The sequence below is a fragment of the Homo sapiens genome, chromosome 16 (assembly GCF_000001405.40).
Source record: "Homo sapiens chromosome 16, GRCh38.p14 Primary Assembly".
NCBI classification, from domain to species: Eukaryota; Metazoa; Chordata; class Mammalia; order Primates; family Hominidae; genus Homo; species Homo sapiens.
In genome coordinates this window covers 54,356,438-54,381,742 of record NC_000016.10, presented here as the reverse complement: position 1 = coordinate 54,381,742, position 25,305 = coordinate 54,356,438, and the positions used below count along the sequence as shown (strand labels likewise).

Here is a 25,305-nt window from a genome sequence, read left to right as displayed (position 1 = left end):
TTCCTTCTTGTTAGTAATGAGGATTTTGATGTTCAATGCGGTGACTCCCTTACACTCATCAAGACAGATATTTAGTCCAAGGAGAAAAAAAAATACCAAGTTACTCTCTTAAAAGGCAACCATGGACCACGCACTGAGTCTTAATACTTTTAAAAGCAAATATTTAATCTGCATTTTAAAGGCCACTCCCAACACCATCACCACCACCCCAGTTGATTTTTGGCTCTATGACATCTTGTTCCTGGTGGCTTGGCACAACTTGCCACATGCTGTTCCATGCGGCCCACACAGGGCTGGAATTTGTGGGGTCTGTACAAGTGAAGCCTTACCAAGTTGTTAGAAGCTAAAATATTTCCATGCCAGTTGGTAAATATGTTGGCCTCTCAGTGCCCATGCCCACTGCCTGGGCACCCTACCCTTCCTCGGATCTCCAGAGGTGCCCATATCAGCAACTAAGTGCTTAATGCCCAGCACTCCAGGGACAGGCAAGCTGACATGGACTGAACTGTGTCCACCTCAAGATATGTATGTTGAAGCCCTCACCTCCAATATGACCAGATATAGGACCGTTAGGGAGATAATTAAATGAGGTCAAAACGATGGGGTCACACATAAATGAGTCCTATTGGGACACCAACAAGACTGGTGTTCTTATAACATGAGGAAGACTCACCAGATTGTGTACTTTCTCTCTTTCCACCCACATATAGAGAAAAGGCAGGCAGGATAGCGAAATGATCAGAGTTCTAGAAAAGTTGTGTTGACTACAGAGAGGTGAGTAGGTGGGAAAGAGAAACCCTGGAGTGGGAAGCCCAGTTTTTGTTTTTGTTTTTGTTTTTGTTTTTGTTTTTGTTTTTGTTTGAGATGGAGTCTGGCTCGGTCGCCCAGGATGGAGTGCAGTGGTGCCATCTTGGCTCACTGCAACCTCTACTTCCCAGGTTCAGGTGATTCTCTGGCTTCAGCCTCGTGAGTAGCTGGGATTGCAGGCACCCACCACTACACCTAGCTAATTTTTTTGTAGTTTTAGTAAAGGTGGAGTTTCACCATGCTGGCCAGGCTGGTCTTGAACTCCTAACCTCAAGTGATCTGCCTGCTTTGGCCTCCCAGAGTGCTGGGATTACAGGCATGAGCCACTGCACCTGGCCTAGGAATCCCAGTTTTTAAGAGGCTGCCATATGAGGATGCATCAAGAAGGCACCATCTACAAGAGGGAAAAAAAAGACCTCAACAGAAACCAACCCTGCTAGCACCTTCATCTCTGGCTTCCAGCCTCCAGTACCATGAGAAAATACATTTCTATGTTTGAAGCCTCCATGGTCTATAGTATTTTGCAACGGTAGCCTGAGCTGTTCTGATAGTTTGGCTCGCACGCCTTGTACCAGTTCGTCAATACTTTCCTTATCACCTGCTAGCACCTTTTCCTATAAAAAGAGATCACCCACTTCCCTCTAGTTAACTTCCAAAGGTGACTGTTTCAAAATCAAAATCAGTTCACAATGATCTACCCATGTGAACTTTTGGTCCCATGTATTGTCTTTCACTCCTCTCTCTTCCTTGAACCTTTGGCCAATCAGTCAGTCACCCAGCACCCTGGCACTCACCTCCTCTTTGTGTTTAGCACCTGTCCCTCCTCTCTAATCACACAGATGCCTTCTTGGCTCAAAGAGTGTTATCTCTCACCCAGACTACCCTATCAGACTCCTAAAGATTGCCTTCCTGCCCCAGGCTTTCTCCTTCTCACCCACTCACCTCTCTGCAGTCAACACATCTTTCCTAGAATTCTGATCATTTCACCACTCTGCTTGAAACTCGTCCATCACCCTTGGGATGAAACCTGACCCTGTGTGCAGGGTCCCACATGGTCTCCCAGATTTCTTTCACACATGCTGTTCCTTGTGCCTAAAACTACCCTTCCAAGCCCTTCCCCTGGCCAGCTCTTAGCCTCTCATTGGGGGAATTACCTGCACAGATCTGGTGGGTTGTCATTCTGACATCCCTGAACACTTCTACTGCTGGGGAACTCAGCTCTTCATGTGGAATCTCGTCTCATTGGGATAGCTCTTTTTGTGGGCAAGTCTAATAACTGATCTGAAATCTGCCTTCCTATAAACTCTCCTCACTGGTTTTCCTCATTCCTTCTCCTTGTCCCCAACTCTCCTTCCTTCCATCTAGACTTTTAGATTTCCTTACTTCCATGGAAGCTGAAACATTATTATTATTCACTGATGCATTCATTCAGTGACTACACTGCCTAACACATAGTAGGTGCCAAGTAAATATGTGTTGAATAAATGAACAAAGGAATATTGAAAATTGACTATTAAAGCTATTATAGAAGAGGCCTTAGAGAGTTCAACTTCTTCATTTTACAGATGACCAAACTAGGGCTTAGGCAAGGAAAGGGAAAGGCCCAAGGTCACACAGCAAGAAAGGGGCCAGACCAGATCAGAATCTATAGATCTTCATCCCTCTGATAGGACCAAGAGCAAACTGGCAAGCTCAGTCCATTTTCAGATTATCCCAAGCAGGAAGTCGATTGGTCCTTTTCCCAAAGGCATCATTGGGATAATGCAAACTTAAGCAAATGTCCATGCCAGGTTCCATCCCCATTTATTCAAGGGAGTAGGATGCAAGATTGATAAGATTTTAAACGGTGTCGTGTTCTGGGCATTCATAACTTGGACTGGAGTGCAGGAAATCCTGTTTGTCTCACAGAGGGAGACAAATGTGCTTTGGAAAATTCCCGGAGGGAAGGAGGACATCATGGGGAATCTCCATCTACATAGGCAAGTCTGGCCTCACTCAGGCAGGAGAAAGAAGGTCCAGGGTGGCTCCTTCACATTCCGGAAGTCTCCTGGGTAAATCAGTGTGGGGCAGACTAGGTGCTTCACATGGCACAGAGGCCCCAGGCTCCCCACCACCAGAGAATGGCTTCACCCCAAAATGCCTCCCCTCTCTCCATCCTTGAGGCCCCAAACCCTACAATGAGGAGGAAGAAAGGTTGCGCCCAGAGATTCAAAGGAAATCACACACTCCCCAACCAAGAGAGAGAGAGGAGGGAGATTCTAAGAGACTCAGAGAGGGAAAGATCGTGTCTGAGAGACAGATGGACACACAGACTCTAAATAACCCAACAAAGAGATAGAAAGTGAGACCGATTCTCAATGGCTCCAAATGTAAAATTAAAGGGGAAAAAATAATTCCAAAAGAACCTTGAACAGGGCAGACTGCAGTGGCTTATGCCTGTAATCCAAGCACTTTGAGAGGCCAAGGTGGGCAGACAGCTTGAGTCCAGGAGTTTGAGACCATCCTGGGCAACATAGAGAGACCCCATCTCTACCAAGAAAGAAAGAAAGAAAGAAAGAAAGAATCTTGAACAAAGTAAAAAGAGCATAAGAGTACACATTATTTCTCTCTTTCTTCCTCTTTTTCTTTCTTTTATTTTCTCTTTTATCTTTCTGAGTCAGAGGGCAGACTTCATAAGGACCACAGATGAGGAGAGGTGTTCAGCTCTTTAAAGGAATGGTTTTAACTGCAGAGATAAAACACCATGATGATGATAGTCATGATGCCTGATGTTTATTGAGCATTTATGATATAAGTTCTGTTCTAAGTGCCTTGCATAGATTTTCTCACTTAACCCTTGTGACCCTAGGCAGTGGGCACTCTGATTATTCCTCTAGTACAGATAAGGACACAGAGGTTCAGAGAACTCATCTTCTGCACAGGGTCCCAGAGCTAGTCCTGTGTGGAGCCAGAATCTCTCCCAGTCCCTAGAGCCCCTCCTCCTAACCCTAAATGGAACTTGGGGCTACAACCTCGGGAATCCCCAGCCATCTCAGCTTGGGCTCACCCTTCTGTGTTAGTCTATTCTTGCATCACTATGAAGAAATACCTGAGGCTGGATAATTTATAAAGAAAAGAGGTTTAATTGGCTCACAGTTCTGCAGGCTGTACAGGAAGCATAGCAGCATCGGCTCGGCTTCTGGTGAAGACCTCAGGAAGCTTCTGATCAGATAGAAGGCAAAGGGAGGGCAGGTGGTGTCACATGGCAAGAGCAGGAGCAAGAGAGAGAGAGAGAGAGAGGAGGGAGGTGCCACGCACTTTTAAACAACCAGACTTTGTGTGAGCTAAATGAGTGAGAACTCACGCATTACCTTAAGGAGACCACCAAGCCATTCATGAGGGATCCACCCCCATGGCCCAACGCCTCCCACCAGACCCCGCCTCTAACATTGGGGATCACATTTCAACACAAGATTTGGAGGGGACAAACGTTCAAACCATATCACCCCCATTTATGACTACATTTACAGTTTACAGTGCATTTTCTCATTGATGTCCCCAGCAGGGTTTGGGAGCTCCATTTGGAAGACCAAGAGGATCCCTGCTCCTTATCTGTCCTTATCCAACCAGTAGGCTAGCTCAAAAAGATTTCAAGCTGTCCTCATGCCAGGCGATGTGCAGGATCCTACACTTTTATTCAAAAGCCCCCCTGTAGGCAGAGGGGAGGGAGCAGTAGCCCTGGGAGATCTTGGGGGTCGTGGAAAGAGCCCAGTGGCATACAGAGCAAATGTCAAACTTCCATAAAGACTCATTTTTAATCTGAAAAATTCACAGGGGTTTTGTATTCTACTGCAAAATATGTTGCTAAGAAAACAGAAAAATGTTTTTAATTACTTGCCCGGGAATGAAACAGACAATCTCAAAAGATGACCCATGTGTATCTCCTGGCTTTATCCCAAGGGAGAGAAGAGCCCAATTTGAGCAACTCAAGACTAGTCCAAGTCCCACCCAGCCTTACTTTCAGCTGAGAAGCCTGAGACACAGAGGTAAAGTGTTTTGTCCAAGGCTGCACAGCAGGGTAGGATCTAGGACCCACACCGGCTGAAGCCTAATCTAGGATCCCTATGCCACATGGGACATGATGGTTGAAGACACAGGCAGTCAAGCTGTCACGAATCCCAGCAGGGCCACAAAGTTGCATAATTGCAGGAGATGTCACTCCCAAGTTAATAGATGTGTCCGGCACCCCCTGGGGTTGGGCGGTACCTGCATGCCATCCACATCACCCTTCTTTGCACTTCAGTTTTCATAGTGTTAATTCTTATAAAACAGGAATGATAACAGTATCGATTCCATGGGCATGAGGATTAAATGAGATACTGCCTGTGCCTAGCACACAGTAGACTCAAGACAACGAAACTTTTAATGCTACCATCATCTTTACTTAAGAAAAAAGACACCCGTTCTCTTTCCATGGTTCCTTTTCAAGCCAGGCCATGCAGAGGCAGTTTTACAAGAATGTCTTTTCTAGTTATATGTCATGCTAACCTACCTCCATGGGTTGGTGTGAAGTTTAACTAAGTTAACACCTGTAAAAACCTGGAACAAGGCCTGATACAAAATGAGTGTTCACGCCAGGTGCAGTGGCTCATGCCTGTCATCACAGCACGTTGGGAGGCCAAGGAAGGAGGATTGCTGGAGGCCAAAGTTCAAGACCAGCCTGGGCAACATAGTGAGACGCCATCTCTACAAAAATTCTTCTTAAAAATTAGCTGGACGTGGCGGTACATGCCTGTAGTCCCAGCTACTCAGGAGGCTGAGGAGGGAGTTGGAGGCTGCAGTGAGCGGTGATCACGCCACTGCACTCCAGCCTGAGTGACACAGTGAGACCCTGTCTCTAAATAAATAAATAAAATGAATGCTCCATAAGAACTACCTCTTTCATTATAGAGAGCTATATACATACATAAATGCATGATTACTATTTTATTTTATTTTATTTTATTTTTTTGAGACAGTCTTGCTTTGTTACCTAGGCTGGAGTGCAGTGGCATGATCTCAACTCACTGCAACCTCTGCTTCTGGGTTCAAGAAATTCTCCTGTCTCAGCCTCCCGAGTAGCTGAGATTACAGGCATGTGCCACCACGCCCATCTAATTTTTGTATTTTTGTAGAGAATGGATTTCACCACTTTGGCCAGGCTGGTCTCGATCTCCTGACCTCAAGTGATCCACTGCCTCGGCCTCCCAAAGTGCTGGGATTGCAGGCATGAGCCATTGTGCCGGGCCATGATGAGTCTTTAATCCAATAAGCATTTATATATTTATGACTAACTTTCACCTCCTTGTATAAAGCCTTATCCCGCCAGCCTTTACTTCACAACGTGTGAATTGCGTTGTTGCTCCTGGTGGATCTCATTTAAGAATGGAGGAACGAGCACTAGGAAGATGACACCAGGAGATCAGTTCGTTCTGATGTCACAGGGGAGACACTTCTTAATCTAGACCAAGCTGACTTTTCCCCCCAGATCAATTCAAACCCCCTCTCCTTGAAGGCACGGCAAAGGCAGGCTCCCAGAGCCTTCTGGCTCCATTCAAAATCCCCTTTTCAGAGCTTTGGCAGTTTTATGGCCTTTAATGACCCCCTATTGTACCCTGATTGCCAATCAGGGCACACGTAATGACCAAGCAGCATCACTTAGCCCTTATTCCGATGACAATGGCCAGAGCGGCCAGCTCGCTGTTTTGACATGAGCCGGGTCACAGGGAAAGTTTTCAGGCGGGTGACTTAAAGAGCCTGGACCAGCCAGCACCCTCAACTCCTCAGTTGCTGGGACTTGGACAAAAGAATGAACTCTGAACTTTTCCTTTGACGGATGGAGGTCATTAAAACCGTGGTGGGGGCCCCTTCAAAGGCAGGTGTAGACGAGGCTGTCCCTCAAAGCGCCTAATAAAGAGAGAACAGGCGATTGTGTGGGATTCAGAGGAGGGGAACTTCTGAGAGATTCACTCAAGTGGTTCAAAGAAATCAATGGGCTGCCCCAGCCGATTGACAGGGGCCAGAAGTGCCGTGGCCGTCTCTCTGCCACCCACTGAATGGGTGGCTGCCCCAATTGTTCCCAAATAGGGGCTACCACAATAAATGCTTTGGGTTCTTTCATAGATACCCTGGGCCGTGGGGCCTTAGACCAACAAGAGAATCTAGAAAAACCTTCACCACCGACTCCCATTTTAAATTCCATCCATTTTAATAAAGTGCCAAGAGAACTCCAAGCAGCTTAAAATATTAAAGGTTTCTTTTAAACATCTGGAAGATAACATCTAATTACTAGATAGTGCTCTAGGTTATTAATATGTAATCAGAGCTAATCCCACCCAACACAAACAGCAAACAAAAGCACTATCCTGGAAGTATCATCTTTGCAGAATGTGAAGCTCCAGTGCAAAAGAAGAGAGCCCCCAACGTAGCTTCCAGATGACACAGCCACCTCCCCCAGCCCCCATTCCCACCACAGCACAGCACAACCAGCTGGGACCACATGCTGCCCCTGGAGGGGCAAAGTCAGAAATGTTGACCTCCTGGCAGTCAGCAGGACAAGTCAGCGAAATAGATTGACTGCAAATGACTTGAGTCATCGAAGTTCAACCATGAAGGGAAATGAAAGCTTGGGGAATTTCACCTCCCTCTTCTGTTTTTTTCAAACGGTGTTTTTGCTTTTTACAAAAGGGTCAGGAATTTTGATCCCAAAGGTCCGAGCGGGAATATAAATGGATTTGGATAAGCTGGAAGCCGGGTCTTTGGGGAGTGGTGTGCTGAATGCATCATTAGGATCACTTGCTCGGCACATTACACACGCAGGCACGCAGGAGACGGAATTCGGCACCCCTCTCCTGCCAGGGCGATGGTTATTAAGGGTAACGCGATCGGATGAGAAGGCGGCAAATGGGCAACCACAAAGCCCAGAGGAAGCAGCTGTGGAGACAAATAAGTGAAGGTCCCACCTCCCTGAAATGTACCCACAAGACAGAGCCACATCCTCTGCATTGTCCAAGGACAAATCATCGTGGGTTCTTGGGCAGTTGGTGGTGTCAGCGCGGCTGAAGGCAAAAGTGATGACTTGCAGACCTCCAGAAGGGGCACCGCAAACGCCTGATCTGGGGCAAGTCCACTTTAACCCTTCCCTACCTCCTTCTCCCACAAGGAAACGGAGGCAACGGAGCAGTGTCATCATCACTGAGCCACATAAAGGAAAGAATAAAGAGGCCACGAGGAATCATAAGGATTTTCCCTCTCTCCAGATCCCTAAGGAAAATGGTCTGACTCATTCTTATGATTCACCGCAGTGTCACAAACATCTCTTGAGCATCTGCAAGTGGAGTCCTAGGTGCTGGCGTGATGGGGTAAACAAGACAGACAGCCCCCATCTTCACTGGGAATGTGGAAATTAAACAGATAATTCCTCAGATAATGAGTATTTTGAAAGATGCTACAAAGGAAAAAAGAGAGTGCTCTGAGGACCTAAGACAGAAAGATCTGCCCCACAGTCAAGTAGGTCAGGAAAAGCCAAGTCCTGGGAGCCTGTGAGGCAGAAAGGGTGTAGGTCTCAGTAGAAGTGGCTCTTGCAGCAGAAGGGACATGTGGAAAGGCCCAGTGATAAAAGGGCTATGGTTTGGACTTACCCAACAAGGATAAGATGCCCAGGACAGAGTATCAAATGGCAGTACCTAGAACACTGCATGTAGATGCCCAAGAGATGTTTGTGGCTGGGTACAGTGGCTCATGCCTGTAATCCCAGCACTTTGGGAGGCCAAGGCGAGTGGATCACCTGAGGTCAGGAGTTCGAGACTAGCCTGGCCAACATGGCGAAACCTCATCTCTACTAAAAATACAAAAATTAGCCAGGCGTGGTGGCACATGCCTATAACCCCAGCTACTCAGGAGGCTGAGGCAGGAGAATCGCTTGAACCCGGGAGGCGGAGGTTGCAATGAGCCAAGATGGCACCATTGTACTCCAGCCTGGGCAACAAGAATAAACTCCTTCTCAAAAAAAAAAAAAAAAAAGATGTTTGTGACACTGCAGTGGATCACAAGTATCAGACCATTTTCCTTGGGAATCTGGAGAAGGGGAAAGTCCGTATTCTTCCTTGTGGCCTTTTTATTCTTTCCTTTATGTGACCAGGACAGGGTAGCAGGGAGTGTCCATCCCAGCTGCCTAGTTCCCTTGCATAGCTGGGGTTGGGGAGGCACCCGAGGCAGGGAACGGAGGGACAGGCTACTATGTAATGGTGGATTCGGGACTTTGCTGCAGAGCCACATTAAAAGAAGTACAATGGGCTGGGTGCAGTGGCTCACGTCTGTAATCCCAGCACTTTAGGAGACCGAGGCAGGTGGATCACTAGGTCAGGAGTTCGAGACCAGCCTGGCCAACATGGCGAAACCCTATCTCTACTAAAAATACAAAAATTAGCTGGGAGTGGTGGCAGGCACCTGTAATCCCAGCTACTTGGGAGGCTGGGGCAGGAGAATCTCTTGAACCCGGGAGGCAGAGGCTGGAGTGAGCCAAGATCGTGCCATTGCACTCCAGCCTGGGCAACAAGAGCAAGACTCCATCTAAAAAAAAAAAAGTACAATAACAACAACTTGAGAAGCAAACAGTTTATCCAGCAGATTCAATCCTGTCAGGGGTTGGGGCAGAAATATCTGGAAGTATCTAGAAATATCTGGAAGATGGAGGTCTGTCCAATTCCTGGGCCTGCTGAATCTGCCCTGAGGAAAAGCACTGAAGAACAACTTCAGCCATGAGCTCATCAGACGCCACCTCCTCGGTTCCGCAGAGCAGAGGGATGTGACAGGCAAACCTTGCTGTCACAGCACTCAGTTTAGGGATGACCTATAACTAGTCCCTTTAACCATCTATTCCTAAGCAATTTTGTTTATTGAAAGGTAAAAGTAACATTTGATAACCTCATCATTATTATTATGAGATGGTTATTATAGTCTCATAATTATTAACAATACTAGCATTTTCTCACCGTTTACCATGGGTCAGGCACAGTGCCATAATGTAAGCCTCTAATGCTCATAACAACAGAAGAGGAGATACGTATTATTACTATAGCTATTTTATAGATGAGAAAACTGAGGCTCAAAGGGTTACTTGATGATCAAACTAATCCAGTTTAGAAAGACAGATCCGGAATTTGTATCCAGGTAGTCTGGTTCCAAGAATTTTTTATTTTATTTTATTTTATTTTATTTTAAAGAGATGGGAACTTTCTCTGTCACCCAGGCTGAAGTGCAGTGGCAAGATCCTAGCTTAGTGCAGCCTCAAACTCCTGGGCTCAAGGGATCCTCCTGCTTCAGCCTCCAGAGTAGCTGGGACTACAGGCGTGCGTCACCACACCCAGCTAATTTTTGTATTTTTTTGTAGGTCTTGCTCTTCTGTCCAGGCTGGTCCTGAACTCCTCGGCTCAAGGGATCCTCGGGCCTCAGCCTCTAGAATAGCTGGAACTACTGGCGTTCAGTACCACTCCCAACTAATTTATTTTTCATTCTCGTAGAGGCTGGGTCTTGCTATGTTCCCCGGGCTGATCTCGAACTCCTGGACTCAAGCAATCCTCCTGCCTCAGCGTCCCAAAATGCTGGTATTACAGGCATAAGCCACCACGCCCAGCCCGGGAATCCTTTCTTTTAACCACTGCAGTACTCCACCTTTTTCCTACTAGATAGTAAGAGAGGTTCTGCTCTTTCCACATCCCCCTGAACTCTGATGTCTGTTTGAATCAAGATGGAGAAATGTGGTTTACTAAGAGACTCTGCAAATGTGGGGCCTCTTTCTGAGCCACATGGGGTGGGCAGCCTCCAGGTCACAGGACGCTGCTGCTGGCATCTGGAAGGGCCACTCCGTGCGAACGTGCTCAGGGCAGCCCTGCGTTTTTACAGGAAACATCTCAGTTAAATATGCAAGCGTGTTTCATTGCAGGGGCTCAGGAAACTTGTTTATCTTCCTTAAACACTGCCAGAGTGGCTCTCGTTTGTTATCTGGGGTGTGAAATGGAGGCTGACAACAATTAATACCTCCTCCCAGGCAGCTCGGCGGCGCTCTGACGGGAAGCTGTGTACTTCCGAGCAGGCGGCTGAGGAGGTGGCAGGCCGAGCCGTCACTCAGGATCCGAGGGGGGAAGAGTGACAGCAGCAGCTGACCGCCCCTCCCGCCGCCTCCTGAGAGGCCCCCATGATAAAGCATCCTGCTTTGTGGTGTAATCAACTTGCCATACATGCATTACCTCCTAATGAGCGCCGTGTTTAAACAAGTGTATAGAACACATCTGTCCGGGCCTTGGGACTCGAGGCTGTGTGACCAATTTCAGCATCTGAAAGTTAAATTAATGGTAAAGGGTTTAATTGTGAGTAAACAATACCACATTAAGGAGCAGTAAACACAGCAGTGGGGACCCACCGACCCGCTCTGCCATCACAGATGCGGCGGCCTCCATGTGACCGTTAATAGTCCCCGCCGCCTGGAAGTTCTGACAGCGCCCTGAAGCCCATTTGTCATCTAAATGGTCCGTCCCCTTCTTAAACATCATTTTGGCCCAAGGTCCATTCATGGGGCCTGCCGGGTGTTCCTGGGAAGATGGGCAGAAAATCCCAAGGCAAGTGGGAAAAGCCTGGTAAAGTTCCAGCTTCTCCATGGAGGGGCGGGAGGGGGGTGAGGGGGACACATATTCCCTGATATCCGGGCAACCAGAGTCGGTCCATAGGAGTGAGTCTGCCCTAGACACCAAGCTTCAATGGCAATGATTCCAAAACCTGACTTTAAAACACCCTAGGGTGTCGCCAACGAACAAAGGCTGCCTCAAAACCAAATTAAGTTCCCTTTAATTAAAGATCATAACATACGCCACAGAACACTCTGTCACGGTAGGGGGAAGGAAGAGACTGTCACATAAAATAAATAGGGTTCCACAACTCACAAAAATTAAGCATCTCACAGAAAGAGCTCTGCACTTTGCTGATTTGTGAACAGCCATCCTCATTGCCACCTTGGAAACCGCTTGTGAGAGGCAGAGTGGAGGTAAAAGAGAAGATGGGTTTCTTCCCATAGGAGACAGGCACAGGTGTTTTCCATCACTGGTCAGGTTGGAGGACATCTCCACGGACCAGGCCCTCAAACACGGAATTTCTGTCCAGTCACAGGAGCACGGGCTGTGCCTTCCTAAGAGGGGCTGGCCTGTCCCTCTGCACCTTTAACTGTCCCCATCTGAGAGGACCTGTATCTCAGCCACAGAGAACATTCCTCTTGTTTGCCTTCCTTGTAATCTGGGCAAAGGGAGTGTACCATGTGGCCCAGCCTGTCCCAGCAGAACACTGAATTGGGGACTGCTGGGATTGAAGCCTCAGCTATGAATACAGCAGCCCTGTGCCTGCTCTCAGTGCATGGTTCCTGGGGACCCCATGGGATAGAGGATTGATCATGGCCAAGATCAAGCATCGAAGTTTCCAGCCTTCAGGCTTCTCTCTCTTTTTCTCTCTCTCATCCTTTAAATGTAGACTGATGTGATTTCAAAGACAAAATTGTCTCAGGGTTACACACCCAGACTCAAGTCAGAATCCAGTCCTGGCTCTACCACTTTCACCTCTCTGAGCCTCAGTGTGTTCGTGTGTGAAATGAGTACATGTCAAAGGCTTCGAACAGTGTGTGGCCCAGGGTAAACGCTCATTAAATGTCAGAAGCTATTATGACTTGAGCACGGTGGCTCACATCTGTAATCCCACCACTCTGGGAGGCCATGGAGGGAGGATTGCCTGAAGTCAGGAGTTTGGGACCAGCCCAGGCAACACAACAAGACCCCATCTCTATAAAAAAAAATTGGGGGCCAGGTGGGGTGGCTCACGCCTGTAATCCCAGCACTTTGGGAGGTGGGCGAATCATGAGGTCAGGAGATAGAGACCATCCTGGCCAACATGGTGAAACCCCATCTCTACTAAAAATAAAAAAAAATTAGCTGGGCGTAGTGGTGCGTGCCTGTATTCCCAGCTACTCGGGAGGCTGAGGCAGGAGAATTGTTTGAACCCGGTGGGGCGGAGGTTGCAGTGAGCTGAGATCACACCACTGCACTCCAGCCTGGTGACAGCTTAAAACTCTGTCTCAAAAAATATATATGAAATTCAATTAAAAATTAAAATGAAACAAGAAGATATTATGATGGGCATGTGATGGATGCCCCCCACCTTTTTTTTTTTTTTTGAGATGGAGTCTCTCTCTGTGGCCCAAGCTGGAGTTCAATGGCGTGATTGTGGCTCACTGCAACCTCTGCCTCCAGGGCACAAGCGATTCTCCCACCTCAGCTTCCCAAGTAGTTGGGATTACAGGCATGCACCACCATGCTCGGCTAATTATTATTATTATTATTATTATTATTATTATTATTATTTTAAATACAGACAGAGTTTCACCATGTTGGCCAGGCTGTTCTCAAACTCCTAACCTCAAATGATCCACCCGCCTCAGCCTCCCAAAGTGCTGGGATTACAGGCATGAGCCACCACGCCCGACCTGGATGCCCCTTTTGGTAACACCTAATCAAACTGACTTGTAGGAAGAGCTCAAGGAAAAGTGGGACCTTTTGCATCTGCCTCACCCCAAGGTTGTTGAATTAGGCCAGGGCACGGATAGAGATTTTTCTCTGCGCTTATAGGTCCACTTATCTCAGAAGCCAAGTGAATACAGCAGCCCCAGGCCCTTGGAATACTGGCTGTTTGACAGGAAGGTAGATTCAACACTGCTGCTGCTGGTTATAGGGGGATGGTCCACAATTGCTCAGAGCTTCAGGTCTCCATTCCCAACAGAAGGCTCAGTATATTCCCACCTCAAGAAACTAGCTGGCTGCCAGCACCAGCTCTCTAGCTCTGAGTCAACTTTTTAGCACTACATTTCTTAGAAAGATTTCCCAAAATGTTGGCTTTTGTATGTTCGAAAGACAGGTAAGCTCGAATTTCTATGTCTGACAACCCTCTTGCTAATGAGTTTCTTTACTAACCCTTAGTGGTTCTCTATATTTGAGCTGGGCAAATCAGTCTGCCTCTCAGAGACTCCAGAATTTCTAAATAGGAAGGGCCTAGTGGCAACAAACTCATAGAAAGAGGCTGCTAGGGGACCTGTCTAGATCTGTGTGGCAAGCCCACATCTTACTTTGATTTTTTTAGGGGGGTAGAGGTGGGGAGTGGCTTTGGGAGAGAAAGATGTCAAGGATTGGGATTGCCAATGAAGCCTTCTTTCTCCTTCTCCTTCTAGGCCACCATTTAGTGCCAATAAACAGAAGGCCTGGTTTCTTCAAAAGAAACACAAGAAATTGTTTCCTGGTTTTGCCACAGAGATTGGGTCACAGAGTGCCACCTAAATGGTATTACCATATTTGTGTTGTCGCCTCTTGGTTTGAAATTTATTCCTGGTATGACTTGTGTCTCCCCTTGTTCCATCTCTGACACCCAAGCCCATGGGATGACAACCCAGGCTGAGATGTCCCATGTGTCACAAAGGAGTCCTTCAGTATTTCCAGGAATAGTTGGAACCAGCACTCCATCCCCTACCTGGACCTGGCACCCTCTCTACTCTTGTCAATTCTACACTAATCACAGGAAGAAGGTGGAATTAGTCCAAGCTGGGTTTTCAGAAATAACTTGTAGACATGCAACAGATGTTTATAACCCTCAGAAGCGGAAGGAAACTTGGAAACCCTCTCTTTCGGTGACTTTTTTTCTAATGATTGTCTCTGCCATGAAATTCTAACTTCAAATGAAATCTTTGGCAGGAACCCAGGGCTGTTCTGTCAAGGTTCAGCTGCAGGACCAGAGCCCCTTCCACCTAACCCCCACTCCTATCCTGATGCTTCCTGAGGCACATCTGCTGTGGTTTCTCACCAGAGAACAGTCTGCAAAATCACTGCACCTTGTCCAACTCCATTTTCCAACTGAGAAGACTTGGCCCAGAGAAGTGCACAGACTTGAGGGAAGTAACACAGCAATCGGACAGACAGACATCCCCAGATATACCTGCTACGGTCCTGGGAGAAAATAGAGACCCATCCCCAAATACCATCATCCTCATCATTCTCTGTAGCCCAATCAAATGATGCTCCAGGCCTGAGATTTTATCCAATGAACACTCTGTACATCTTTAAAAGAGATATGTACTTGTCTTATTCCTCCTTTCCTTTCTTTAAAAAAAAACACAGGCCCCAGATCCAGTCATTCTAAATAGGAAGGAAAAACATAACCCACTGAGGCAATGGATGCTGTTTCTCTCCCTGCTCTGTGACTTTAGTTTGCCTTTAAAGCCCATTTTCACCATTTATTGATTTTAGTTTTCTACTTGTCTATGAATGACAACTTGAATTAAGACAACGCAGGCTGAAAAGCCGCTAGGCAGTGCTAAATGGACAAGCTACACTTCGTGGCAGGATGTCTCATGACCGTGCCACCTTCTGCCTAGCCCCATTCTCTGGAGGAGCTGTGGGCAGACCGACCCCAGCCTGGCCGCCTGGCATGGGGACTGGTTGCGTCAGATCGGAGCTCTGAGATAAGGGTGGGCCAGGGCATGATCATCACCACTGCCAGCCTCGAAGCCTCTTTGCTGACCTGGAGGTGATCTGTGTATCAAAGGGGGCTGTGTATTCAACAGCACTTCCAGAAGAGGCCAAAGATCTGTCTCTACTTCAGCCTCCACTGGGCAGAAAACTAAGCCTATTTGCTCTAGGCCCTTCAGACTTGCACTTGGAGAAAGAAAACTCACTAAGTCAGCCCTTATGTAACTCCACTCTCCTCTCTTCCAAACCTCCTTGCTTTGGACAAATATTTGACAGAAAATGCCCTTTTGCAACGCCTTAAAAGTTACAAAAATGGTGCACCCTATCCTTTAATCTGTACTGTAAATAAAAAATATTAACACAAACCCTTTAACCCAGAAATCCTACTTTTACAAATCCATCTTAAGAACGTAATCAGGTAAGTACCTCATGTTTCTATAAAGACATTTATTGCAGCGCTGTTTCTAATAGACAAAAGTGGAAACCACTTAAGTACCTAGCAAGAAGGGATTGGCAAATATGGTAAATCTAGTCTATTAAATATTATTCAGTCATTTAAAATGATGATGCCGAACAATATTTATTCACGTGGAAAGACATTTACAATGTATGTTACTATGTAAGTAAGAAAAATAAGAAATAATACACATAGTTCCCTTCTTATTTTTTTTTAGTTTTTCTGGATATCTTTCTATTGTTATTTGCATAGGAAAAAGAATAAAAATTGAGATAGGCCAAAATGTGAAGATTTGAGAATGTTTTACCTTTTTTTTTTTTCTCGAGACAGGGCGTCACTCTGTCATCCAGGCTAACTTGCAGTGGCGCAAACTGATCTCGGCTCACTGCAACCTCTGCCTGCTGGGCTCAAGTGATCCTCCTGCCTCACCCTCCCAAATAGCTGGGACCATAGGCTCATACCACCACACCAAGCTAATTTTTTGCATTTTTTGTAGAGACAGGCTTTTACTATGTTGCCCTGGCTGGTCTTGAACTCTCAGCTCAAACGATCTGCCACCTAGGTCTCCCAAAGTGCTAGGATTACAGGCGTGAGCCATGTGCCCAGCCTTCAATCTTTTCTGACTGATTTCTGAATGTATTGATTTATAATCAGGAAACGAATGATAATGTGATTTTCATGGTGGGTAGGTGGAGTTGAGTGAGCCAAAAAGATGACCTTAAATAGTGCTCCAAGCTGTACAAGGTCACCCCAAGAGTATTCCTGTTGGGCCATATTGGGACCTGTTTCCTCTTCATCAGCAGCAATACAGCCTGTGCAAGGCACTGCCTACATTCTCATTACTTCCAACACCCAGTGGCAGGATCTGTACAAGCTGCACTCATTTAGAAAGCCCACCCTTACACTAACTACTGGAAGCAGAAAGTTGATGAGCATTTTTTCTTTTGACCAAATTGGCAGAGAAGACAAAGACCCAGGAGGGAAGTGAAGAGAGTGAGAGAGTTTGACCCAACATCACACCATGCACCAAGAGCCAAGCTCATCCCAATGGCTTACTCACATTCCCAAAACCAGACTCAAGATCCTGTCTAAGAGTCAACCCCATGGAAGACCTCTGCCATTTAAGAAGCTCCTGATCTCTTGAGGCCAGGAGTTTTAAGACCAGTCTTGGCAACATAGGGAGACCCCATCTATACAAAATAATTCAAAAATTAGCTGGACTTGGCAGCACGTTCCTATAGTCCTAGCTACTCATGAGGCTGAGGCGAGAGTGCTTAAGCCCAGGGTTCAAGGCTGCAGTGAACTACGATTGTGTCTCTGCACTTCAGCTTGGGCAGCAGAGCAAGACCAAGTGTAAATTAAAAAATAAAATAAATAAAATTAAATGTAAAAAGATGTTCCTGAGAAAATAGTTCTAACCCACTTTGGGATCATGAACAAATTTGAGAATCTGATGGAAGCTCTAACCCTCTCCCACAAAAATACATGTAAACATAAATTTATATACATTTCAAGGGGATTATGGGTGGTGCATGGTCCTGAGTGATCACAGGCCGGGAACTTATGGGGAGGCTCCACTCCCTGGAGTGGGAGGGTGCAGGTGTCCATTTTCGGCCCAGCCCCAGCCTTGGGTTTTGATAAGGGCTTCTGTCCACTCTTCATCCACCCCCATACTCATCACCAAGTTCCGAACTTCTTGAAGACAGGACACAGAGACTCCCTGGAGCAGGCCATGTGATGGCGGGGAGATAGGGGAGTGGGCAGTGAGCGGAAGGCGTGGAGACAGCAAGGTCCCCACCAGGACACCTCTGCTCCAGATAAGGAGGGTGCCATCTTGTAACCCCAAGGCTGCCTGGCAGGACTTCCTCAAAAGCAAGGATGTCTTCTGTGTTTTGCAAGGGTGTTAAAGGAGGTAATTAAAGGGTCCACAAGTCAGACCTCACACACACAGATGGGAGGCACTGCCTTTCTGATCCTCTCAGCTGGTACAGAACTGAGGCCGGCAACAAAAGGTGTTAATCGCCGGATGAAGAGTCCATGCTGATAGATGACCCCTTATGGTGATCACTCTTGTGCGAATGGCAAATAGGTTTGATCAATTAGATTTTAATGTAAAGTGGGGCCTGGTGGGGGGAAACAGCAACCAGGAGAGGGAAGACCCTTTGTTGCTAATGTGTCTGAAAAAAGCACTTAATTGAGGTCATAATAATATTAGCAGTTCTCGTCATCAATAATTCAGCCTTATTTATTACTCCCCAATAAGGTCCTGTCAGGTAGGGAATGTAGAGGGCTTTTGTTAGAGACAGGATATGTAGCTTCTCTCTCTCTCTCTCTTTCTCTCTCTCACCAGCTGCTGGGCCACAGAATATCAAGATTTCTTTCATTCTCAAAATGCTTTCTAGCTACAGGCTCTATATGTAGAAATAGACGACTGTAAAGATAGAAGTTTGCAACAAGATATAATTTAACCCTCTCCCATCCTTCCTTGCTCCAGTTTTTTTTAAAAAAATCATTCTCATTGAAACAGTAGCTAACTACTTTTGCTTAAGAAATCTATCAGGAGAAAAACAATTTTTATTCTTGCATGATTTAGTACCCTAAAGAATGACATAAATTTGGTCTTTTCACATGCCTTTGGTCACCTGTGGTTTTGTTATCTTTTAACGCAAAAAAAAAAAAAAGACAGTGAGAGAGAGTGTGTGCCAAATGAATGTATAATTGTACAATTAAAGATGCTAGCTCCAGCGTTAAAATTTAAAATGTATTAGTCTCATAAAACCGCCTCATTAGTCTCTGTGTCTTAAAGGACATACTTGTCCATAATGAGGCGAATGCAGGAAATGGCGCAGGGTGAGAGCAAGGGGAAGAGGGGACAGCGGAGCTGGCTGCCATTTCGTTTTTCAGAAAGGGGGAGGAAAAACACTTAATAAAGATAATTGGGCTGGTAGTGTCTGTTCCCATCTGGAATCGCAACTCAGACAGACCCCAGGGCAGACCATCGGTCATTAACCAGGAAAATAACCTATTTGGAAGGGATCCGTTTGTTTTATAAACGATGCTCCACTTTAGAACAGCTTAACCGCAATCATAATAAAAGTTCCTCGAAACCCCAGCCAGGGGATGGTGCTGAAATATCGATCCGGCTTCTGCTGATGATGGCCGGACTTGGCTTCCGCCCTGCTTGCAGGAAACAGCTTTTGAAGTTTTGCTCTTTCCCCCACCCCCTTTTTAAGTCTAAATAGAATTTAAACTGCCCTTCGGTGATCAGTGGCTATTAGCAGCATTGGTTAGGAAACACGGAGTCATGGGGTCAGGAGAGGTGGCCCAGGTGGAGGGTGGAAGAGGGGAGAGAGGAGGCCCCGAGCTAAGGGGAAGAGAGAGGTCAGCTGTGAGCGCAGCTTGGTGGGAAAAGGATTGCTGCGGTGGGGCCGCCCTGGCCTGCGAGGCATCCAAGGGACAAGGACTGGGAAGAATCAATGCACCCCACCCCCAGCCCCAGCCTGGCCACAGCACTCCCCCCAACACACACACACACACACACACACACACACACACACACACACACACAGGCAAGGCAGAAGCATTCAGAAAAGTCATTCATCAAGGCAGAACTGGAATCGTATAGATTAAGGCAGCAAGGAGAAGTCCAGCGCCTTATCCGACTGCCCTGATGGTGAAGACGAGAGGGAATAATTACTGTAATTGGAAAAAAGGTTTCAATGGCAAAGCTCCTCTGATCCACCTATTTCCAAGGAAGGTTGCTCTTAGCTGCTTAGGAGGGCGTGTGAAAGTGGGGTCTTCTGAGACAAAGGGAAACGGGGAGGAGGAGCCATAACCCACATGGAACCTGCCTTTTAAGGAAAATGAGGAATCCAAGCTCTGAAAGATCCACGTCTATTTCAGCGTTTCTCCACCAGGGTGATTTTGTTCCCCTGTGAGCTATCTGGCAATGTCAGGGGACATCTGAGGTTGTCATAACTGGGGATGAAGTACTGCTGGCATGTGGTAGGTAGAGGCCACGATGATGCAAACCCTACAATACACAGGACACCCTTGCCACCCTCACCCTCTCCCCTGAGCGTGCACGCACACACACACACACACACACACACACACACAGGACAAAGGACTATCCAGCTCCAAATGTAAGCAGTGCCCAGGTCAAAAGCCCTGGTCTACTCAAATCACACTCACCGAGTAAAGATCCTACTCTTTGCTCCACTCTGTCCCCAGAATGTCGGTTCCTGCCCTCATACCCCACTTCCCCTCCTCCCCTTCAGTGCCACTGGTTAACATCTTCCAGAGAAACATCTTCCCTTAGAATGTCTTAAGAATGACATTCTAAACCAATTTCTTCCTTTAAGGCATTAGGTCTCAGTCTGCCAGCTAGAGGGAAAGAGGATGAGTGTTTAGGACTCAGCAGCAAGGACTTAGTGGCAAATCCTGATGGAACTTTGACTAGGCTCCTGGGCCCAAAGTTAGCCTCAATGTTCACCTCTGTAAAATGGGTGTAATAATTTTGCTGCTTCATAGGGTTGGAAAGAGGAAATGAGAAAACGTTTAGCCCACTACCAGGCATGTGTTAAGTGCTCAAAAAGGAATCAAGGAGAGAGAGGGAGAAATTTCAACTGGTGTCAGACACCATGGTAGTCAGTGATCACTGCCATCCCAAACCCCATGTGGAGAGGGGACCGTCCATCATTATCAAGAAATGAGTGCCATTTTCTAATTATAAAGAATGAAGCTACTGCACAAAGCTCTTTAGAACTATCAGCCCCATCATCTGCAAAGCTTAAGTGTCTGTCTAAGCAGAGCCCCAGTCACCTTTCCCCCCGTTTCTCTACCTTGATTCTAGAAAGGGAAGGGGGGCAGGGCAGGGCCTTACCAAATTTCTCCCCGCATGCTCAACTGTTTCCTCCTGACAGCGTTTGACTGTGCTTATTATTTCCAGCAAAGCCCTTATCATTTTCAATGTGAATTTCAAATCACACTGATCCAGCCCTTCTTAGCTAAAGTCAGCTTTATCAACCACAAGAGATGTGGGATTTGAGAGAGATCTGAGTAAATTCACATTGTTTGGATAAACTCATTCAGGGAGCTCAACAAATCAAAGCCGAAATGGATATGTATTCCAAGGAGACTGAGAACTGCTGGGGGAAAAAGAAAAAAAAAAAAAGTTGCCATTAACGTTTTTATTTCTTAAAAAAAAAAAACACATAGCAATCCCTTTTTAATGAGCGTGTTCACAACGTCTCTTTGAACCTTTACCAGGGCTCCTTAGGACACCAGGTGAAATGATAGGAGCTGCGAGGTTGTTGACAAGGGAAGCAAGTCGTTGGAGAAAATTGCTTCACCCGCTGCCCCCACCTCCCAGCTTTGGTCAGCGAGGCCGCTATCAAATATGGTAATGGGTGAATTTATGCATTATCCCATAATTTAAGGAACTGTGTGCATCATGTATATTTAAAACTATTTCTCTGTAGTTTTAATTATCTCAGTCTGCAGGGGCAAAAAGAAAAAAAGCAGGCAGCTCCCTTGCCTGAGACCAAAATGAAAGCATTTGCCTGCTGACAGCTAGGACGTCTGTCCTAGCTGGTTGAGATTTCCTATAAAATTTGCATTGGAAAGGCAGCTTTAAGTATACTTAAAATAAAAAAGGGGCATTTGCATCTAATTTGCTACACTTGCAGTATTAGAGTTTTATCTGAATAAAGACACGTCAACTGGATTTATATAGTTAAGCTGATAGCTGGGAAAGTCAACACCAAAAACATCAGCTAAATTCAACAAAGTTGGAGAGCAGCTAATACTATTTACATGTTGTTGTGGGGTTTTTTTCCCCTCCAGTGATGACTTTAAAACTATAGCAAATTATCTTCTTTTTACACAAGTCTGGTAATTACAAGGTTTTAATGAAAGGCATCTTTATAGATGGACCCCCCCCTTCCCCTACCCCCCCTCCCAGCACACCCAAGTGTGTTTATAAAATGGTGCGATTATAAAATGTGGTGTCATTGTGAATTCCAGCAGCTTTGGACTTGGACAGGTCTTGATTCGAGTCCTGACTCAGCCACCTATTGGCTGTGTGACCTCAGGCAAGTACTCCTTGGCCTTAGTTTCTTCATCTGAACAATGGGTACCATGTTTGTTGTTATACAGGGTCACGATAGTTGTGTGGTCTGTGGGCTGCCCAAAGGTGCTCAATCAAGGCCAGTGGGGGCTGAGATCCAGTCCGTATCACTTGGCCACATCTCATTCACACTTAGATGCTGTGTGGCTAGCAGCCTGATCCAACCTCAAGGAGGCTATGAGCTTTAAAATTGGACGATACAAACTAAGGACTAGAGTAGCATCTGGTACATGGTAACTGCTCAGAGAAAGTTAGCATGAGGATGTTAATGATGACAATGATGACAACAGTGATAATGATGGTGATGATGATGATATGTCAGTGAAATGTCACATCGCTGATGTAGTTCCTATTCCAGAGGAAGGACTTCAGCGTTCCTCTGTTCACTTTCACCAATTGCCACTCAATTTCAACATCATTGCGAGGCCTGTCCCGCAAGAGGCGGATTCTGGTGCAATCCAGCCCCAGGTGATTCTCTGTTCCACAGATTGGCCCCATGACCCCAGCATGGGAGGAGGCAGGGGTGTGCCCAATGCCTTTTAGATTTGGAATGCTACTGCTTGGAGTACAGTAAATCCCAGGCTCTCACACAGCCTCGCACAGCTGGGAACAGATTCCTGCGTGCCTGGAGGCCTCTTCGAAGGCTACCTTTCCTCTCCCCTCTGCCAGTTTTGAAGGAACTACCCACACGGGAAGGAAGGGGACACGACGCCCCGCTGTGTTGGCTCCCCAGCCTCACTATTCCCCCAGAAGCCCACTCAGCCACTGCCCAAAAAGTCAAGCTCCCAAGAGTCCTGCTGCTTCTCTCCAAGGGAACTGGAAGGAGAAGGACTTCCACCAGGAAGCTCCCTGAGCAACACCACTGTCCTCAGAGCTCTGCCCGAGACTCCCATCTCCTTCCTTGCCTCAGAGCCACCCTGGCTTCGAGTCAGCCTTCCCCTTACCATCAAAGTCCACTGGAGCAAGTCACTTTCTTTTTTTTTTTTTTTTTTTTTTTTTTTTTGAGGTGGAGTCTCACTCTGTCGCCCAGGCTGGAGTGCAGTGGCCCGATCTCGGCTCACTGCAAGCTCCACCTCCCGGGTTCACGCCATTCTCCTGCCTCAGCCTCCAGAGTAGCTGGGACTACAGGCGCCCGCCACAACGCCTGGCTAATTTTTTGTTTTTTTTAGTAGAGACAGGGTTTCACCATGTTAGCCAGGATGGTCTTGATCTCCTGACCTCATGATCCTCCCAACTCGGCCTCCCAAAGTGCTGGGATTACAGGTGTGAACCACCGCGCCCGGCCGGGGCAAGTCACTTTCCCGCCCAGAACCTCCGTTTTCTCATCTGTAAAATGGGAGAAGTAAGAATACCCACGTGGCAAGGTTGTTGTGGATTGCAGAGCGCTTAGTGTGGTGTGCAGAGTGTGACAAAGAGTAGGTGGTGGCAAATCACAGAGAAGAGGACAAGCCAGCATTGTACCAAGTCCCAGTCATGGAGAACCGGCCGCTACCGCTCAGCCGAAGACCAATGGCCTAAGTCCTGACTACGTCTGGCTGTGCTGGGCCCACCTCCGTCCATTTCAGGGGCAGGTCATAGAGCCCCTGCTTGGGTTAGATGTCTGCGTGGATGGGAGGAAAAGCGCTCCCACCCACTCAGGCCATCCAAAGCCTGCCATCTGGGGACACCAGCACACTGGCTGCAAGTTTCAGTGTTTTAGCAGAAGAAAATGTTAAAATTCATTGCCATTTCACAGAGCAAGATCTGCAGGTCAAGAAGGCACTGCCACCCAGCTGGCAGCTTCATGATGGCACATGGGCTGATGTCGCCAGACAAGGATTCTGCTATTTAAACACAACAAGCAGTGTGATTCCAATACTACATCTTTTACCTCAATGAGCCCAGGGTCCTGTTATCCCTGAGCAACAAAATAACATCTCAGAATGGGGCTTGGAGCATCCCCAAGGCTATGTACAATGGGAAGCAAACCAAACAGGGCAGATATTGAGGTGGACGCATGCCAGGCACAGGGCTCATCATAGCTTATTTCCCCTCCCCTCCTAGGTTGGGCCTACCCCCCAACAGTTCAGACTAAGACAAGAATCCAGGTGCACATGTTGATTTGGAAGGTGACCTCGGGAAGCACAGTGAGACAGCAAGGAAGTGAGACAAGGAGGAAAGAACGTCTTTGAAGGATGCATTAAGGAGCAGTTTCCCAGGATGGACAGCTGGGCTTGATCTTGCTGGCAACCCTCTGAGAGGCTGCAGAAGACAACACAGAATGGTCCCACCAGGGGCAAAGAAGCTGGGGCATTTACCCACCATCTCCCAGCCCTCTCTGGGTGAGGGTCTTTCCTGAAACTTTAACTTTCCAAACTGTTCCTCTTGCAGTTCTCAAGAACATTCTCAGGCAGAGCCTGAGATGCAAAGCCATTGGCAAGTAAGGAAACTGACAACAGGGGACCTCTCCAGTGGGCCAGGGGTTATAGTCAGCACCCCAACAATGGCTCCTGCACTCCAGGAAGCTCTCTGAAGCCGCTATTCTTTGTATCCCCATTTTGCAGGTGGAGAAGCTGAGACTCAGGGAGACTCACAGTCACACAGGTAGAAGGTGGAAAAGCTGGGACTTGAGCTCGGGCTCTGACCTGGTGGGCTCCACCGCCTGTCCCGTGTCGCACTCTCCAAACACAATGCAATGAAAAATGATGGAAGATGAAAATGAACTCTAATGGCATTCAAAAAAAGAAAAATAAGAATAAAAAAATTATCAAAATAAAATAACTCCTGTCTCATTACCATGAAACAAGTGCTTGACACACAGCAAATGCTCAACAGGGGTTAGTTTCTATGCTTCCAACTCTTTGAACCTCTTTTCCAACCACGCATTGGATGAAAAGGCAGTGGCTCAGAACTAGGAGCCTGGCACACTCTTCCCCAGCAAGTGGGACAACGCAGCAGAGATGAAGGCACTCCAGATCCCCATCCCCAGTTCCTGTTCACCCAGCTCTGGAACCCAGGAGTCCAGATCCCAACCAGGAAAAGGCTAGAGGGGACTGCACCATGGAGCCCACCAGACCAAACTAGGTTGGGGAGTGGGGCTGGGAGAAAAATAGAGGGATCAGAATACCCAAAGGAGGGGAGGCATACCATGGGAGCATTCCCTGGGTGACTCAGGAAGCCTAGTTATGAAGCTACACTTAAAGAACTTCCCTTTGTAATAGCCTAATGACCTGAAATGTTCCATCCACCCACATTTCTTCCCCTGGGATGTTCCCTGCGTTTGAACTGGTACATCTGTGATATCTGAAGATGCTCAATTCAGCAAATGACACTTTTCCATGTGGCCATCTCTACCTCCCAAAGAA

The 25,305-nt window shown here is 47.0% G+C and overlaps 2 long non-coding RNA genes across 4 annotated transcripts, besides 1 other annotated feature; one reads left to right on the top strand and one right to left on the bottom strand.

The window, feature by feature from the left end:
* Positions 1-7,014: 7,014 nt before the first annotated feature.
* LOC105371272 (uncharacterized) lies at positions 7,015-11,496 on the bottom strand. The gene is made up of 3 exons (XR_933591.4): positions 11,246-11,496; positions 11,073-11,159; positions 7,015-7,758 (listed from the first exon to the last, which is right to left on the bottom strand). It is a non-coding gene; the product is annotated as an uncharacterized LOC105371272 (long non-coding RNA).
* Positions 11,044-15,736, top strand: LINC02140 (long intergenic non-protein coding RNA 2140). 3 transcript variants are annotated; one of them, NR_134923.1, is made up of 2 exons: positions 11,044-11,177; positions 14,084-15,736. It is a non-coding gene; the product is annotated as a long intergenic non-protein coding RNA 2140 (long non-coding RNA). The 3 variants fall into 3 exon arrangements; NR_134924.1 differs by lacking the exon at positions 11,044-11,177 and adding an exon at positions 11,285-11,351; NR_134922.1 differs by lacking the exon at positions 11,044-11,177 and adding an exon at positions 11,285-11,441.
* Positions 18,739-19,242: an enhancer, noted in NCBI's record as "H3K4me1 hESC enhancer chr16:54396413-54396916 (GRCh37/hg19 assembly coordinates)". NCBI's record gives its function as "activates a minimal SCP1, AML or CMV promoter by ChIP-STARR-seq in naive H9 embryonic stem cells {active_cell/tissue: H9 hESC(naive)}" and the evidence as "EXISTENCE:reporter gene assay evidence [ECO:0000049][PMID:30033119]".